The following is a 19,041-nucleotide window of genomic DNA, read 5'->3' as shown; positions in this document are numbered from 1 at the left end:
GCATAAAAAGTTAAACAGAATTTATGGTCACCTCTCTAAGATCAAGGTGATCTAATAGATAAACATGATCTAAGATGAAGATGAAGATTTTAGTATGCTTTTGTTTGTCTCTTACTGCTTAAGTAATTTGGGCCAGTTGGCCGGGCGCAGTGGCTCACGCCTGTAATCCCATCACTTTGGGAGTCCAAGACAGGTGGATCACGAGGTCAGGAGTTCAAGACCAGCCTGGCCAAGATGGTGAAACCCCATCTCTACTAAAAATACAAAAAATTAGCCAGGCATGGTTGTGGGCATCTGTAATCCCAGCTACTCGGGAGGCTGAGGCAGAAAATTGCTTGAACCCAGGAGGCAGAGGTTGCAGTGAGCCGAGATCGCACCACTGCACTCCAGCCTGGGTGACAGAGTGAAACTCTGTCTCAAATAATAATAATAATTTAGGCCAGTTAAGGCCTCTTACTGAGCAAAAAATAATAATAACAATTTGGGGTAGATGCAGTGGCTCATGCCTGTAATCCCAGACTTTGGGAGGCCAAAGCAGGAGGATCGCTTGAGTCCAGCCAGGAGTTTGACCCCAGCCTAAGCAACATAATGAGACCCTGTCTCTAAAAAATAAAAATCAAAAATTAGCTGGACATGGGTGGTGTGCACCTGTGGTCCTAGTTACTTGGGAGGCTGAGGTGGGAGGATCCCTTGAGCCCAGGAGTTCAAGGCTGCAATGAGCTATGATCATGCTATTGCACTCCAACTTGGGCAACAGAACAAGACCCTATGTCTTAAAAATAATAACAATAATATGGCTGGGTGCGGTGGCTAACGCCTGTAACCCCAGCACTTTGGGAGGCCGAATCGGGTGGATCACGAGGTCAGGAGATTGAGACCATCCTGGCTAACATGGTGAAACCCCGTCTCTACTAAAAATAAAAAAAAAAAAATTAGCCGGGCGTGGTGGCAGGTGCCTGTAATCCCAGCTACTCGGGAGGCTGAGGCAGGAGAATGGCATGAACCCAGGAGGTGGAGCTTGCAGTGAGCTGAGATCCCACCACTGCACTCCAGCCTGGGTGACAGAGTGAGACTCTGTCTCAAAAAAAAAATAATAATAATAATAACTTGGAGGTTTGTTTCAGCTGATTATGTTTTTATAATGTAGCTTCTATTAATTTTTATGTTTATAAATATAATCTTTTAAAGTTATAAGTACATAATCCTTGTATATCCTTCTTTATTTTTATTTTTAATTTTTTTATAAAATATTTTTTATTTTTAAAAATAATAGAAACATGGTTTCACTGCGTTGTCCAGGCCAGTCTTGAACTCCTGAACTCAAAGTGTCCTTCCACCTCGGCCTCCCAAAGTGCTAGGATTACAGACGTGAGCCACCACTTATAATCTTTATAAGTTTAGCTCCAACTTTGCCACCACTGTTCTCTGTCGCCTTTTAAATTCCTTTGCTCTCATACATAAATGGAATTCTTTTCCAATTATTTCCATATTGCTATGGTGCCTTTATTTATTTATTTTATTGGGCAACCCCCGCCACACCAGAATAGGTTCATAGAGACTCTCTGCCTCTGCTATGTTCCCTTTTAGTATTTAATGTTACAGTTGAATGTTTTATGTCAGTCTGGTTCTCTTCCCTACAGCTTATTTTTCATGCTCAAACCTTTAAAATTTTCTTTCTGTTTTTAATTTCACCAGGATATGTCTAGGTATGTGTTTTCTTTCAATATTCTTGCTGATCTTCGGTGGGAGTTTGAAGTATCAGCTGTTTTTGGCTCAGGGATTTTTTTTTTTCCTCCATTATTTCTTTACTTCTTCTATACACTCTAGTCTGTTATACTAAATGTTGGATTTTCTGGATCTATTTTTCCTATACCTTTTCTTTTGTAATTTCAATTTCTTTGTTTTTCTATTCTGTATTCTGAGTAAATTCTTTTTTTTTTTTTTTTTGAGACGGAGTTTTGCTCTTGATGCCCAGGCTGGAGTGTAATGGCACAAACTCAGCTCCCCACAACCTCCACCTCCCGGGTTCAAGAGATTCTCCTGCCTCAACCTCCCAAGTAGCTGGGATTACAGGCATGCGCCACTGTACCCGGCTAATTTTGTATTTTTAGTAGAGACAGGGTTTCTCCATGTTTGGTCAGGCTGGTCTTGAACTTCTGACCTCCGGTGATCCGCCTGCCTCAGCCTCCCAAAGTGTTGGAATTACAGGCGTGAGCCACTGTGCCTGGCCAGTAAATTCTTTAATATGCTTTTTTTAGTTTATCATTTCAGTTTACATTGTTGTTGATTCCACTGTTCTGAACCGTTGAGTTTGATTTCATTATTATGTGTTTTATTTCCAAGTGTGCTTCTCTACTATTTTTTTCCTTTTTTTTCTGTATAGTTTCTCTTCTTGTCATCTGCTGTTTCTGTAGCAGTTTCTCTTGCTTTGTCAATGTAATATCCTTTTAAATCCCCTGTTAACTCTCACCGAGGTTGTTGATTAGAATTTTTAAAAAAGTTTTCTGTGCTTTCTTGCCTTGACTTAACTCTTTTTGAGGACTGCTTGGTCTCCTTTACAGCTCCTGATTGTCGTTTATAACACCTAGTCATTTTCCATTGTCTTTGCCTACTTACAATGAAAGTCTAGACTAGTTTAAATTGGTAATTTGTATTCTTTAATGATTGTTAGCCCCCGAGTGAGCCTCACTTTCATAGCTTTCCTTCCCTCACACCAAAGGAAAAGTAGGAGTTCTTAGAGGCCTACTTCATGTATATGGCCTGTTGATGAGGATGCCTGCTCTTTTTTGACGTTTGGGGAGAGTTCCCAAATCTTTTTGTATTTTACTTCCTGGAGTCTCTCCAAGATGATTCTCTATATAATCAGGCAAACAAATGAGGAAATGTCACTGCTTGGCCAAATTGCTTTCCTTTGTGCCCTTGCTTGGCTGGAATTCTCCCTTCTAGCCCTCTCACTCCTTGTGGTGTTTGGTGGGTAACCTCACTATGAAATTTCACTTCCATTTCTGGTAGAAGATTAGTTTAAAAACTTTCAAGTGCTACTTTTTTTTTTTTTTTTTTTTTTTTTTTTTTCAGGAAAAGAATTAGAATGAATGTTGCTTCCAGAGTAGGTTTCCATTTGCCATCTACCCCCGGCCCCATTTTTTGTTCATTCAGCAAATACTTATTGACTGCTGCCTGTGCTAGGAAATATATGATGAAGAATACAAAGTCTACTCATGGAGACTATATTTTAATAAAAAGACTAAACCTTGACATCATTCTCTTAAATATTTTTACATAAGGAAAGAGTATTTGTTTTATCTTGGTGGGAACTTTATTCCTCCAATGAATAATATATTAAAGAAAACAAGTGGGAAATTTCATGCAGAAATTACATACAAGAAATAGGAAGAAAATATGCAAAGGTCAAAACTTAGTAAGTCATACTGACCTAGCATGTTGCCTGGATTATTTAGGTATGCAATAACTTTTTAGTGAAATGAAATGTTCTCAAGTACTGTGAGGCCAAGTAATTCAAGATAGAGAGGAAGGAACACCATCTATGTCTGTCGCCAAAATAGTAACAAAACCTTTTCCCCTCTTGCACAGGAATTTAGTTAACTTTTTAGGTATGTTTCTTGGAGCCCTTACAGTATCAACTACATTAGTAGGCTATACCGCTATGGAAAAAATGATCTCTGAGTAAATTGCATGTAGACCAGAAGGAAATATAAATGAACTAGTTTCCAGATGCCGATACAATGGCTGTAGGCTTCATTGAGTGCAGTGATTCTTGAAACTGGATAGATCTTGCAGCAGTCCACACAGCTATCTGGGAGCTTTCATCCCAATGCTGACAGCTCATGTGCAAGGAGATGAGATCTAAATCAGGTAGGTATAGAGACCATACTAGCTGAGATGCTAATGAAGCAAGGACTCCTGCAGAAGGGGAACTTGACACTGTACTGCCCACATGCTATGCTTCTCTCCTGTATTCGTAGTGAGTCTAGTGCCAAGTGTAGCCTGTGATACTCTTTGATTTTTAATATTCTTTGAGCTTAATGGGCACTGCAGTGGTTTAATCAGGTCTTGGGATCCCGACAGGTGTTTCCCCCAGGTCCATTAGGAGTCTTCTGTTACTTTTAGAGATCATTTTTATAGTATAATATGCTAATTTTCCTTTAATTTAGGCTCAGGTTTCTGGGACTTTTGGTCCTCCTCAGTTTGCAGATTTCACAAGCAAATTATTTTACATTTCTTTTCTACAGACTTGACCCCTTATTTGGGATGTGTGAAAAATTTTTACAGGAAGTAGACTTTTTTCAGAGGTAAGTATTTTATAACTCTTCTGGCTTATTAAATCTTGGTTACATGGAGTATAGCACTTGCAGGCAATAGGAACAATCACAAATCACATTCCTTGGTTTAGCTTGTGCAGCCAAGCTATCATCTGTGGCCATGTCGTTAACCTTAAATTAGGAAAAAAAGAACCTAATTTGGTTTTTTTCCTTAATGTTATAGAAACTTCTTTGAAGTTGGAGCTTCAAAACTAAACCTACCAGGAATCACTTGCATTTAGCACTCAGCTAGGCCATAAAAAGACAAGTAATATGAAGAAAACGTGTAAATACGTTTGTTGAAAAAAATCATTAGTCATCTGTTTTTTTCAACACTGTTCGTTCACACCATTCTTATTTATTTATTTATTTATTTATTTATTTATTTAAGACAGAGTCTTGCTCTGTCACCCAGGCTGGAGTACAGTGGTGCAGTCTTGGCTCACTGCAGCCTCCGCCTCCTGGGTTCAAGTGATTCTTCTGCCTCAGCCTCCCAAGTAGTTGGCACTACAGGTGCCTGCCACCACACCTGGCTAATTTTTGTATTTTTAGTAGAGACGGGGTTTCATCATGTTGGCCAGGCTGGTCTCTAACTCCTGACCTCAAGTGATCTGCCTGCCTTGGCCTCCCAAAGTGCTGGGATTACAGGCGTGAGCCACCGCCGTGTCTGACCTCATTATTATTTTTTGAGACAGGGTCTCACTCTGTCACCCAGACTGGCACAGCTCACTGCACCCTTGAACTCGTGGGCTAAAGCTATCATCCCACTTCAGACTCCTGAGTAGCTAGGACTACAGGCATGTGCCACCATGCCTGGATAATTTTTAATATATTTTTTTTAGAGATGGGGTCTTGCTGTGTTGCTCAGGCTGGTCTCAAACTTCTGGCTTCAAGAGATCCTCCTGCCTCTGCCTCCCAAAGTATTGGGATTACAGGTGTGAACTACTGCACCAGGCCCACACTGTTCTTACACTTGCATATTTCTCTATAATCTACAATTGTTTTGTAATTCTGTAGGTAAATTTTATTTTGTAGAATACATGTATTTTTTCAGAGTTTTATATGGAATGAATCCGTTAAAGCACATGCAGTAGTTGAATGGAAAGCTTGATGAAGAAATAGGAGTCGAGGGAGTGACCAGACTTCTGGTATGCTGGCAGAATAATACTGGGAGAAGACATAGGATCTTAAAGCACTGATGAAGTCTGTTTCATTTCTTCCGCTCATTGTCCCTGCCCTCATGAAGTTCACCAAACCTGAGGTTTTTATGACTCTGTACTTGTCACTGGGGTGATGATAGCTTCTTACAGGGCTGAGTTGCAACACTACCTTCACCAGCAGGTAATACTCTCTAGCAAACTTACCATCTAGCTTGGCTTTTTAAGATCCTAGTTTTGAGGCTGGGCACGGTGGCTCACGCCTGTAATCCCAGCACTTTGGGAGGCTGAGGCGGGTGGATCACGAGGTCAGGAGTTCGAGACCAGCCTGGCCAATATAGTGACACCCTGTCTCTACTAAAAAATACAAAAAATTAGTAGGGCGTGGTGGTGGGCAGCTGTAGTCCCAGCTACTCGGGAGGCTGAGGCAGGAGAATTGCTTGAACCCGGGAGGCGGAGGTTCCAGTGAGCCGAGATCACGCCATTGCACACCAGCCCGGGCAATAGTGCGAGACTCCTTCTCAAAAAGAAAATTAAAAAAAAATTCTAGTTTTGAATCTGAAATAAGTTCATGCCTTACTTTTGCTTTAGTTTCTTTAAAGTAGAGAGTCTGTTTTTGCACAGTTGGGTTGAAAAGATTTTTGGGAAGATGAGAGCTCTGAATCCCCAAAGTTCTTCATCTGATGTTCTTAATTCATCCTTTGAGTTCCTGCACAGATATCACCTCCTCAGTGAGATATTTTTTGACTATCCACTGGCACAAGGCACAAAATTGGATCAGTCTGAGCCAGGAGTAACGTACTTAACTTTTCTGAGCCTCAGTGAGGCATCATCCCCTCTGAGTCTCAGTGTTTCTGCCACTTGAATGTAAGCTCCATTGAAGCAATCGTTTTTTTCTCTTCCGTTCACTGTGTTTCCAGAACCTAAAATAGTGCTTGGCGCTTCGTAGGTCTTAAAAATGTATTTGTTAAAATAATTAATGAATCTATAATACGAAAATAAAAATTCTAATGATGCATAGGATTGCTGGAAGTTAAATAAGATCATGTAAAACACTTAAGAGTATGCCTGGCACATAATGGTTATCAATAAACAGAGGCCTTTCTGATGATCATGTGACTGAGGCATGATTGTATAGGTACCAGTCTATCTTGGTCGTAAACTGCAAGCTCCTCTCACTTCATCATTCTTCCTACTTCAGGGTTTGATAGGTGTCTGGGGCCCAGCCTGTGGTGAATGAGTGCACAGTTGAATGAGTCAGTTGCTTCTGTTTGTTCCTCCAGGTATTTCATCGCTGATTTGCCCCACTTGCAGGACAGCTTTGTGGACAAACTCCTTGACCTTATGCCCCGACTCATGACATCCAAACCTGCAGAAGTGGTCAAAATTCTACAGACCATGCTGCGACAGAGTGCCTTTCTGCATCTCCCGCTTCCAGAGCAGGTCAGGGTCTATTTGGCCCCTGTAGGCCAAATCTGTCCAGACGGTCAAAAATCTTTACCTTGGTGATCTTCTTTGACCAGTGGAGCAGCTGGGCTAGGCTGTTCCTCTGAGTGGCTCCCACATGCCCACTCATTAGATAAGGAGACAGAAAAAAGATGCGTTTTCTCATCCAGGAATGACCTGGCTTTAAAATCATAGGATTTTCCTCTTGCTTACAGATCCACAAAGCCTCAGCCACCATCATCGAGCCAGCGGGCGAGTCAGACAACCCTTTGCGGTTTACCTCTGGGTTGGTGGTTGCCCTGGATGTTGATGCAACCCTGGAGCATGTGCAGGATCCTCAGAACACTGTTAAGGTCCAGGTCTGTCGGGTTTGGGTCCTCATGGAGCTTCTAGACTGACATTGTGTTGAAGTATTTAATGTTAGCACCCCTGTAGTCTCTACTTGAGGGACAGAAACTGGGACAGGAGAAGAAATGAGCCTCTGTGGGAAAGAACCTAGGCTTGAATCTCAACTACTGCTGAGTGTGGTTTGGAGCAAGTTACTTTAAACTCTGAGTCTCAGATTCTACAACTGACAAATAGGAGGAGTTGACATAAAGAGATAATGTATTTAAAGCCCCCAGGACCCAGTAAGGGTTCACTAAATGATAAGACCTTTTCTAATCTTGTAATGTGACGTTAAGATTTGGTCTTTTGTTACAGAAAACTGTAATAAACAAGTTCCTTTCAGGCTATGAGTCAGTCGGCTGGCAGATAAAATTTATGGTTGGGAAAAAGCAATTACTAGGAAATATTCTTTCCCAAGTTACATAGATGTAATAGAGACACATGAGAAATGTAGTAGAGACACTAATCAATTCAGACAGTGCAATTAAGCCCCACAAAGAGTACTACTACTTCATTCATCCATCTGTCCACTCATTCATCCTTCCTTCCATCCATCTGTGCAATCGTGTTTACTCTATTGCATGCACTAAGTGCTGTGGTTGCCAAGGTAAATATGTCACAGTTCTTCCTCTCGGGGTGTGCACAGTTTCATTGAGAGACATACAAATGGGCAGGCAATTATAAAACAGGGTTTGGTGAGTAGACATGCACAGGATGGGTCATCTCCTAGACTGTCTCCTAAAAAACCCTTTCAAAGCACCTCTACCACATGCAGGGCTAAACCTTTTAGAGTATTCAATTTGGAGTGTGGTGGAGGCTCAGGAAAGGAAAGGAGAAGGGCACAAGGGATATGAGAGAAGGGCCAAAGGGATATGAGTCAAAGCAGGGATGCAAGCACTGGCAGGAAGTACAATAAGGGGACAGAAAAATAGGCTGGAACAGGCAGAGAAGACTTCCTGGAGGAGGTAAGGATGAATCAGGCCTTGAAGATTATGCTTTTTGGCTATGGTGACAATAGAGGAACAGGCCTTCTGGCTTCCAAGCAGGAATTATTAAAAATTATGAGACCTGCAGAGAACTAGTTCTGAGCTAGCTGTGAAGTTGTATTGCATATTGGAGTGTTTTGTTTGTTTGTTTGTTTTTTTCCACATTAGTGGTTGTCCACCTTCACTGCACTTTAGGATTACTCAGAAAGCATTAAGAAGAACAGATGAATAGGTGTCAGCCTACATTAATTAAATCAAAATCCTGAGAATAGGGCCTATGGACACTAGTGTTTAAGAGTTCATAGGTGATTCTAATACGTAGTCAGTGATACTAGCAGAACTACTGTTTTACATTGTCCCTGAAAAAAACTTCACTGATCACCTGAGCGTAAAGGAGATTGTAGGCAGGTTACTTAAGGGTCATCTCCTAGACTGTCTCCTAAAAAACCCCCTTCATAGCACCTCTACCACACGCAAGGCTAAACCTTTTAGATACCTTATAGGTAGAGGGACAGGAAACTCACTGCCCCATCGTGGGACAGGTCCAGTGGTTTGAAAGTGCCATCCAGTCCTGTCACCACACCCGGAGTCATTCCTCTGTTCCAGGCACTACTTCAGGTGCTCAATAGAGATATAGCAGTAAACATGCCTCAGAGATGACACTGAGATTACATTCCCCATTAAAATACTGTAGATCTGTTCTTTAAAGCAAACCCTGCAGAACTCCATTCATTAACATTTTATTTTATTTTATTATTATTATACTTTAAGTTTTAGGGTACATGTGCACAATGTGCAGGTTAGTTACATCTGTATACATGTGCCATGCTGGTGTGCTGCACCCATTAACTCGTCATCTAGCATTAGGTATATCTCCAAATGCTATCCCTCCCCCCTCCCCCTACCCCACAACAGTCCCCGGGGTGTGATGTTCCCCTTCCTGTGTCCATGTGTTCTCATTGTTCAGTTCCCACCTATGAGTGAGAACATGCGGTGTTTGGTTTTTTGTCCTTGTGATAGTTTGCTGAGAATGATGGTTTCTAGTTTCATCATTTTTTATGGCTGCATAGTATTCCATGATGTATATGTGCCACATTTTCTTAATCCAGTCTATCGTTGTTGGACATTTGGGTTGGTTCCAAGTCTTTGCTATTGTGAGTGGTGCCGCAATAAACATATGTGTGCATGTGTCTTTATAGCAGCATGATTTATAATCCTTTGGGTATATACCCAGTAATGCGATGACTGGGTCAAATGGTATTTCTAGTTCTAGATCCCTGAGGAATTGCCACACTGACATCCACAATGGTTGAACTAGTTTACAGTCCCACCAACAGTGTAAAAGTGTTCCTATTTCTCCACATCCTCTCCAGCACGTGTTGATTCCTGACTTTTTAATGATAGCCATTCTAACTGGTGTGAGATGGTATCTCACTGTGGTTTTGATTTGCATTTCTCTGATGGCCAGTGATGATGAGCATTTTTTCATATGTTTTTTGGCTGCATAAATGTCTTCTTTTGAGAAGTGTCTGTTCATATCCTTTGCCCACTTTTTGATGGGGTTGTTTGTTTTTTTCTTGTAAATTTGTTTGAGTTCATTGTAGATTCTGGATATTAGCCCTTTGTCAGATGAGTAGGTTACGAAAATTTTCTCCCATTTTGTATGTTGCCTGTTCACTCTGATGGTAGTTTCTTTTGCTGTGCAGAAGCTCTTTAGTTTAATTAGATCCCATTTCTCAATTTTGGCCTTTGTTGCCATTGCTTTTGCTGTTTTAGACATGAAGTCCTTGCCCATGCCTATGTCCTGAATGGTATTGTCTAGGTTTTCTTCTAGGGTTTTTATGGTTTTAGGTGTAACATGTAAGTCTTTAATCCATCTTGAATTAATTTTTGTATAAGGCATAAGGAAGGGATCCAGTTTCAGCTTTCTACATATGACTAGCCAGTTTTCCCAGCACCATTTATTAAATAGGGAATCCTTTCCCCATTGCTTGTTTTTGTCAGGTTTGTCAAAGATCAGATGGTTGTAGATATGTGGCATTATTTCTGAGGGCTCTGTTCTGTTCCATTGATCTATATCTCTGTTTTGGTAACAGTACCATGCTGTTCTGGTTACTGTAGGCTTGTAGTATAGTTTGAAGTCAGGTAGCATGATGCCTCCAGCTTTGTTCTTTTGGCTTAGGATTGACTTGGCGATGTGGGCTCTTTTTTGGTTCCATATGAACTTTAAAGTAGTTTTTTCCAATTCTGTGAAGAAAGTCATTGGTAGCTTGATGGGGATGGCATTGAATGTATAAATTACCTTGGGCAGTATGGCCATTTTCACAATATTGATTCTTCCTACCCATGAGCATGGAATGTTTTTCCATTTGTTTGTATCCTCTTTTATTTCATTGAGCAGTGGTTTGTAGTTCTCCTTGAAGAGGTCCTTCACATCTCTTGTAAGTTGGATTCCTAGGTATTTTATTCTTTTTGAACCAATTGTGAATGGGGAGTTCACTCATGATTTGGCTCTCTGTTTGTCTGTTATTGGCGTATAAGAATGCTTGTGATTTTTGCACATTGATTTTGTATCCTGAGACTTTGCTGAAGTTGCTTATCAGCTTAAGGAGATTTTGGGCTGAGACGATGGGGTTTTCTAGATATACAATCATGTCATCTGCAAACAGGGACAATTTGACTTCCTCTTTTCCTAATTGAATACCCTTTATTTCCTTCTCCTACCTAATTGCCCTGGCCAGCACTTCCAACACTATGTTGAATAGGAGTGCTGAGAGAGGGCATCCCTGTCTTGTGCCAGTTTTCAAAGGGAATGCTTCCAGTTTTTGCCCATTCAGTATGATATTGGCTGTGGGTTTGTCATAGATAGCTCTTATTATTTTGAGATACGTCTCATCAATACCTAATTTATTGAGAGTTTTTAGCATGAAGGTTGTTGAATTTTGTCAAAGGCCTTTTCTGCCTCTATTGAGATAATCATGTGGTTTTTGTCTTTGGTTCTGTTTATATGATGGATTACATTTATTGATTTTCGTATGTTGAACCAGCCTTGCATCCCAGGGATGAAGCCCACTTGATCATGGTGGATAAGCTTTCTGATGTGCTGCTGGATTTGGTTTGCCAGTATTTTATTGAGGATTTTTGGTGGTGGATTCATTAATTTTTTGAAGGGTTTTTTGTGTCTCTATTTCCTTCAGTTCTGCTCTGATTTTAGTTATTTCTTGCCTTCTGCTAGCTTTTGAATGTGTTTGCTCTTGCTTTTCTAGTTCTTTTAATTGTGATGTTAGGGTGTCAATTTTGGATCTTTCCTGCTTTCTCTTGTGGGCATTTAGTGCTATAAATTTCCCTCTACACACTGCTTTGAATGTGTCCCAGAGATTCTGGTATGTTGTGTCTTTGTTCTCGTTGGTTTCAAAGAATATCTTTATGTCTGCCTTCATTTCGTTATGTACCCAGTAGTCATTCAGGAGCAGGTTGTTCAGTTTCCATGTAGTTGAGCGGTTTTGAGTGAGTTTCTTAGCAAGGCCTGCGGACCCTGCCCCGCCCCCTCGCCGGGCGCCTCCCACCTATTCTACACCTCTCGTGTCTCTTCACCCTGCCAGACTAGAGTCAAGCTCAACAGGGTCTTCTTTCCCTGCTGATTCCGCCAAGCCCATTCCCTTGGCTGTGGTTTCGCTGGATAGTAGGTAGGGACAGTGGGAATCTCGTTCATCCATTCATGTGCGTCACTAATTAGATGACAAGGCATTTGGCTACCTTAAGAGAGTCATAGTTACTCCCGCCGTTTACCCGTGCTTCATTGAATTTCTTCACTTTGACATTCAGAGCACTGGGCAGAAATCACATGGCATCAACACCCGCCGCGGGCCTTCGCGATTATTAACTCTTGTAAGCCTAATCTAGGTTACTGTATTCTACCTGATGATCATTCATACTGGCCATTTCCTTCCTCTGACCTACTTGGGCCACAGGTTTCTAAGCTCCACTTTTGGAGTAGACAAATGAAAGAAGGCTTCCAGCAACCATTTCACAGAGGAGTGAAGGCCTTTCACCAAGGACAGTTTTGCTGAGAATGCTGGGAATTTTTTTTTTCTTTTTTTTGAGACAAGGTCTCTGTCTGTTGCCTGGGCTGGAGTGCAGTGGCATGGTCAGCTCACTGTGACCTCAAACTTCTGTGTCCAAGGGATCCTCCTGCCTCAGCCTCCTGAGTAGCTGGAACTAGAGATACACACCACTACACCTGGCTAATTTTAATTTTTTTTGTGTGGAGATTGGGGGGTCTTACTTTTTTGCCCAGTCTCGTCTTAAACTCCTGTCTTCAAGCAATCCTCCCGCCTCAGCCCCGCAAAATGCTGGGATTATAGGCATGAGCCACTGCACCTGCTGAACACAGAAATTATGGCCCCTGTTCATTTGTTTTTCCCATGATCATTGCTGTTTCAGCCCCCCTCTGCCCTTCTTTTTCTTTCTTTCTTTCTTTTTTTTGAGACAGAATCTCACTCTGTCACCCAGGCTGGAGTGCAGTGGCAGCGATCTCAGCTCACTGCAACCTCTGCCTCCCAGGTTCAAGTGATTCTCCTGCTTCAGCCTCCCAAGTAGCTGGGACTACAGGCACACGCCACCATACCCAGCTAATTTTTGTATTTTTAGTAGAGAAGGGGTTTCATCATGTTGACCAGACTGGTCTTGAACTCCTGACCTCAAGTAATCCACCTGGCTCAGCCTCCCAAAGTGCTGGGATTACAGGTGTGAGCCACTGTGCCCGGCCCTCCCCTTCATTTTCTAAAAAAAAATGAAGCCCAAGCACTTGTCTTTAAAGATAATAAGGATCAGGAAACTGAGACACCTGCATTTTTTTCCTATAGTAGGTTTGGGAGCTTGGAGCCTAGAACTAGAGTGGGGAGTAGCAGCTTTAAGAAATAAGGGTAGGCCAGGTGTGGTGGCTCACGCCTGTAATCCCAACACTTTGGGAGGCTGAAGTAGGAAGATCACCTGAGGTCAGGAGTTCGAGACCAACCTGGCCAACATGGTGAAACCCCATCTCTACTAAAGATACAAAATTAGCCGGGCATGACGGTGGGCGCCTGTAATCCCAGCTACTTGGGAGGCTGAGGCAGGAGAATCACTTTAACCCGGGAGGCGGAGGTTGCAGTGAGCCGAGATCATGCCACTGCAGTTCAGCTTGTGTGACAGAGTGAGACTATCTCAAGAAAAGAAAAAAGAAAAAGAAAAAGAAATAAGGGTAGGCTGGGCACAATTGCTCATGCCAGTAATTCCAACACTATGGGAGTCTGAGGCAGGAGGATCACTTGAGGTCAAGAGTTGGAGACTAGCCTGGGCAACATAGCAAGATCTTGTCTCTACAAAAAAATTTAAAAAGAAAATTACCTGGCGTGGTGGCACGTGCCTGTAATCCCCACTCCTCAGGAGGCTGAGGCAGGAAGATCACTTGCGCCCAGGAGTTTGAGGCTTCAGTGAGTTATGATCGTGCCACTGCACTCCAGCCTGGGTGGCAGAGTAAGACCCTGTTTTAAAGAAAAAAAAAGAAAGAAAGAAGTGTAGAATCAGGGGGAGGCCCCATGACCTGAGGAGAGATGAAGGATTATAGGGCAAGTGGGTGAGACATGCCTTCCGCAGTTTCAACATTGACCACAGTTTCAACATTGGAAGACCTGTGTGGTTCCCTACTCTGCCTTCATAAGTATATTTACATAGAGCAGGTCCTAGTCCTAGGATAAGCTTCATTTGTTCCTCTAGTTCCTTTGTGCGCTGCAGTATAGTAGGCTGTCTACACAGGGAGCTGGGAGGTCCCCCAGGATGCTGAGGAAAGAACTCTGTTGCAGTTTATGAGCCTTAAAGAACTGGCCAGTGATTTGAGTGGACTCTTCATTGAGCCGTCTCTCCGTAGAGAGAGAGATAAATGACTTCCTAGCTGCTTGCAATGTAGTGGAAAGAATGCAATTACAAAATAACTCCAAATACTGGTGGTTGGTGATGGATGCTGGGCCATGGTATGATTCAGAGCCAGGGAGGGAGTGCTCTTCTGGTGAAGGTGCCTGAGAACACTTTTCATAATAAGAATTAATATTCTTACCTGTCTTTGCGCTTAATAGAGACACTCTGTTCATATTACTTATTCACCATGAATTCAGGAAATGTTTACTGAACACTGCTTCATGCTGGATTAGGGGAATAGAGATGTCTACAGTGTTGACCTACCCCCAAGGCTCAATCTTAGTAAAGTTGGTGTCATGTTTCTTCTTGTGTTTTGAGGTTCACAACAGATGTCATCATCCATTTTGTTAAATGCTCCTCTCGCTTCTGCCTTTTTCTCATTTCTGTCACCCTTTAGGTCTTATATCCAGATGGCCAGGCTCAGATGATTCACCCCAAGCCTGCAGACTTCCGGAATCCTGGCCCAGGGCGGCACCGGCTCATCACTCAGGTTTATCTCTCCCACACCGCTTGGACAGGTAAGGAGTCAGGACCAGGGTGGGAAGGGAAATATGCTGCTGGAGATCACACCTACCCTTAAGCGTTTGGTTTTTAAAGTTTGAAAAAAATACATGGATGAATCAGGCCTTGTAAGAATTGAACTTAATGAGTTTATAAGCACTCATTAAGTGGGTAAAAAACTGGGTATATTTGGGCTAATTTGCTACAGTGCTTTGATTGCATGAGAGATAAGATTCTGTTGGAAGATATACAGGCGATTATGATAGAATGGAGTCTCATGGAAAGGGCCCTGGTCTGGACACCAGGAGATTATTCTTATCCTAACTGCCACCGACTTGCTTGGTCACCTTAGACAAGTCTCTCCCTTTCTGAGTCTTTTTCCTTATCTTCCAAATGACAATAATAATTCTCAACCTACAAATTAGTTGTGAGGATTTTTAAAAATATTTTTTTTCATTTGCCAACTTATGTCTGAATTGTGAGGATAAAATGGGAGAATACAAGTACAAAGGAGATTACATTTCAAGCCTGTAAGCCTGCTTTAAAAAACTTAAGAAGACCTCAGTCTGCAGAACCTAGAATAGGGGGCAGAATTGGCCTCAGTGGTGTTTCCCAAATAATTGGAGATGGTTCAGGAGCACTGTTACTGGAGGTGTTTAATGCCACCAAATTTGGTTTATTTTAGAGATAGGGAATGCCTTTTGGAATTTTCTTTCACTCTGTGTTTTTAAACACATAATTATAAGGCTATTATTATTATTATTATTATTATTTTGAGACGGAGTCTTGCTCTTGCCCAGGCTGGAGTGCAGTGGTGCAATCTCGGCTCACTGCAACCTCTGTCTGCCTCCTGGGTTCAGGTGCTTCTCCTGTCTCAGCCTCCCGAGTAGCTGGGATTACAGGTGCACGTCACTACACCTGGCTAATTTTTTTGTATTTTAGTAGAGACAGGGTTTCGTCATGTTGGCCAAGCTAGTCTCGAACTCCTGACCTCAGGTGATCCACCCGCCTTGGCCTCCCAAAGTAGTGGGATTACAGGCATGAGCCACTGCGCTGGGCCTTTATTAATGGTTTCCCTCTGTCAGGGTGTTAGATGGGTAATGATGACTTTATGAAGCTGTTGGATGTTAGGGCAGCCCCTTTGGGGTTCTAGTGGTGGTAGGCCTGGTGTAGTTGAGGGAGCATCCAGCAGTTCTGCTACCCAGGACGTGCTTCCCTGAGTATTCCTCATTCCATAATCTGGCTGCCTGGAATGTTTTTGCACTATTTGCCAAACCACTGGCCCCACAGGAAAATAGATTCCTTATTCTAATATCTTCTGCTGAAGGGATCCCGGACATGGGGAAGGAAATGCTGTGGGACAGTATTGTTTTGGGAGGGACAAGGCTCAGGAAAGCAAATTACAGTATGCTGTAGCTCCAAAGATCGTGGAAGGTCTTGAGAGGGTCTGACTTGTCCCTGGTCACACAGCAAGTCATTGCCAAGGCCAGAGTTAGAACTCAGCTGATCTGCCCCCAAGCTCAAGGTTCTTTTTCCTAGGCCCCATTTCCTCTTAAGGTATCCTAGTTCATTGCAGACTTCCTTGTTTTGTATTGCCAGGCGATCCTGAGCCTGAATAATTTTAACTTATACAAGATCACAGCCAGGCCTGGTGGCTTGTACCTGTAATCTTCGGGAGGCTGAGGTGGGAGGATCGATTGAGCCCAAGAGTCTGAGACCAGCATGGGCAATATAGGGCAACCCTATCTCTACAATAGATATATAAAAAAGTTAACTGGGCATGGTGGCATGTGCCTGTAGTCCCAGCTACTCAGGAGGCTGAGGCAGGAAGATTGCTTGAGTCTGGGGGGTCAAGGCTGCAGGGAGCCCTGATCATGCCACTACACTCCAGCCTGGGTAACAGAGCAAGACCCTGACTCAAAAGAAAAAAAAAAAAACCATCAGAAACAAGAAAACAAGATCACCTCCTCTGAATGGTCGCTACCCAGTCACTATTACAAATCCCTGTTTTAATTGTTTATATATAGTGCGTACTGGTTTCAGATGTGTTTTCACATTTAATTACTTACTGACTTTCCCATTAGGATGTAGGCTTCTATAGAGCAGGGAACTTGCTTGTCTTTGCCTCTGTATCTCCATTGTTTTAGTAGCCTGTGTCTCTAGTGCCTGACATGTAGTAGGCACTCAACAAATAATGAAAATTGAATACAAGGTTTTAAATGTGCAATAAAAATTCATTTAATCTTTAGACCAACTCTGCAGTGGAAATTAGTATTCTCTTTTCATTTTACAGATACATAAATGGAGGCCCACATACCTGATCAGTGACAGTGCTAAAGCTGCAGTCACCCTTCCCAGCCCTCACTGTGCTATGTCCCTTCCGGTTTGGGGCACTGAAGTGAAATATGTCTCATTGTAAATGAGCTTGCAGTTTCTTTCTCCTAATCTAGGTGATGGGGCCTGGAGTTTCTAGGGAGCTCCTTCAATCCCTCAGTAGCTCCCCACCAGGGAGGGGCCTCTCCTCTGGGAGGCAGGATGCTGCCACGTAGGAAGCTCAGTCATAGACCATGTTTCAAATTCTGCTTCCTTTGCTGTGTGATCCTGAGAAAGTTATTTTACTTCCCTGTCTCATTAAGATGAGAATAAGAATATAAACCTGCTAGGAGAAATATTCTTCCAGGCATGACGCAGAAGTTGCTTGAGTTATCCTAGATGATCTTGTCTCCTTCTCCCAAGTTCCCCTCCTTCTTGTTTTCTCTCTTCTCCGCTTTACTCCTATGGCATTGCCTTGAATTGCCATTCTTATCAAATGTTGGTAAGGGAATGCAAAATGACCCTGTAGGGCTGAGTCCTACATCAACTCCCTCTGACCTTAGCAGGATTTATTTGTTTTTTTGTTTTTTTGTTTGTTTGTTTGTTTGTTTTGAGACAGGGTTTCCTTCTGTTGCCCAGGCTGGAGTGCAGTGGTGTGATCCTCTCGGGCTCAAGTGGTTCCTCCCACCTCAGTCCCCCTAGTAACTGAGACTATATGCCTGGCTAATTATTTTTATTTTTTGTAGAGACAGGTCTCACTATGTTGCCCAGGCTAGTCTCAAACACCTGGGATCAAGTGATTCTCCTGCCTTGCCCTCCCAAAGTGCTGGGATTATAGGCTTGAGCCTTATCCAGCTCTTACCAGGATTTGGCTTCTTGAAAGTGCTATGCCAACTGGGGCTGTGGTTGTGGTCTGCCACTTGGGATGGAATGGGAGAGTGTGGCAGGAAAGCAGATATAGGTACCTATTTTGATTCCACCCTAAGTGGGAGATTCATCTGGAGCCTGGTATCAGAGAACAGTGTTAGTTTCATGACAGTTACACTCATGGCTGCTGCATGACCCTCATGTTGTCATGTGAGTGTGTGCTTATCACATGGCTGGTACTTGATGATGAGGCTGCACTTAGATCTCATGCTGAAATCTGAGGTGCACTGGATTGCTCTGGCCTTGGGCTGACTGCAAACCTTTCCCTTCCTGGAGGACAGCAATCCAGTCTCTACTCTGACCCATAGAGAGAAGCTTGGATGTAACCAGGAAGAGGTCTGGGGAGGCACTGAGAAGTCCTGGAGTCTCTGCCCTTGTTAATTTAGATCCATCTAGCCTTCATTCCTACCCTCTGAACTTCTTAGCCTTGGGATCATCTTCAACTTACACTTTTTGCTCTGGTTGCACCAAATTAAGGAGACATCCCAAGCTCACTCCATTCCTGGCCTTTGCACTTGCCCTTACATTTTTCTGAAATTCTCTCCCTCTTCTTTATAGAAGCTTGTGGTTAATAGAATGAGTAACTGCTTCAGTTTATGAACTGGGCTCAAATTCTTACCCAGGTGTGCATCTGGGGAGTCTCTGAGAACCTATCTGATTCTTGGGATTTTTGCCAAGATTGTGACAGTCTTTCTTTCATAATGTAGCAGGATAAGAACTCTTGGGGTTAACTGTTTGGCATAGAATGGATATTCTATTCCAAAGCCTTCCTGCGCTCCTCCTCAGTACTTCTTGCAGGCTTGGTTAGAGCGTGTGTTGTACTCCATTGCAACTATCTGTTTCCTCAACCAAACAGCAGGCAACTTGAGGGGAGTTCTTAATTATTCTTGCTAGGACCTGCCACATAGAGACACTAGATGATTATATCGTAAGATAATGTAATGAAAGAATGAGATGTTTTCAGACATTTTAGGTCCCTGAGACATGTTCCTGTTCATTGGCCAGAAACTTTTTGGCGAACCACTTCCTATTCAAAGGCTTCCTCTCCAC

At 42.7% G+C, this 19,041-nt stretch overlaps 2 protein-coding genes across 13 annotated transcripts in view; one reads left to right on the top strand and one right to left on the bottom strand.

The window, feature by feature from the left end:
* The window catches only part of AAMDC (adipogenesis associated Mth938 domain containing), an 84,881-nt gene that overhangs the window by 7,425 nt on the left and 58,415 nt on the right, over positions 1 to 19,041 (bottom strand). For 4 of the 9 annotated variants that reach the window (NR_171642.1, NR_171640.1, NR_171643.1 and 1 more), the window contains one exon: positions 13,684 to 13,820. The exons of the other annotated variants lie outside the window; for them this stretch is intronic. The gene's annotated coding sequence lies outside the window, so the exon portion shown is untranslated. The remainder of the gene's footprint in view (positions 1 to 13,683; positions 13,821 to 19,041) is intronic. 9 annotated transcript variants of the gene reach the window in all.
* INTS4 (integrator complex subunit 4) overlaps positions 1 to 19,041 on the top strand; it is a 120,307-nt gene that overhangs the window by 96,069 nt on the left and 5,197 nt on the right. For 2 of the 4 annotated variants that reach the window (XM_017018560.3, NM_033547.4), the window contains exons 19-22: positions 4,251 to 4,310; positions 6,760 to 6,919; positions 7,138 to 7,281; positions 14,648 to 14,768. In XM_017018560.3, coding sequence (XP_016874049.1) covers positions 4,251 to 4,310; positions 6,760 to 6,919; positions 7,138 to 7,281; positions 14,648 to 14,768 — 485 coding nt within the window. Of the gene's footprint in view, positions 1 to 4,250; positions 4,311 to 6,759; positions 6,920 to 7,137; positions 7,282 to 14,647; positions 14,769 to 19,041 lie in introns of those variants that run through there. The other 2 variants (XR_001748036.3, XR_002957208.2) reach the window with 2 other exon arrangements.

Source organism: Homo sapiens, chromosome 11, assembly GCF_000001405.40.
Source record: "Homo sapiens chromosome 11, GRCh38.p14 Primary Assembly".
NCBI lineage: Eukaryota > Metazoa > Chordata > Mammalia > Primates > Hominidae > Homo > Homo sapiens.
Note: the sequence above shows the minus strand (reverse complement) of the source record. Positions and strands in the feature narration are given on the sequence as shown.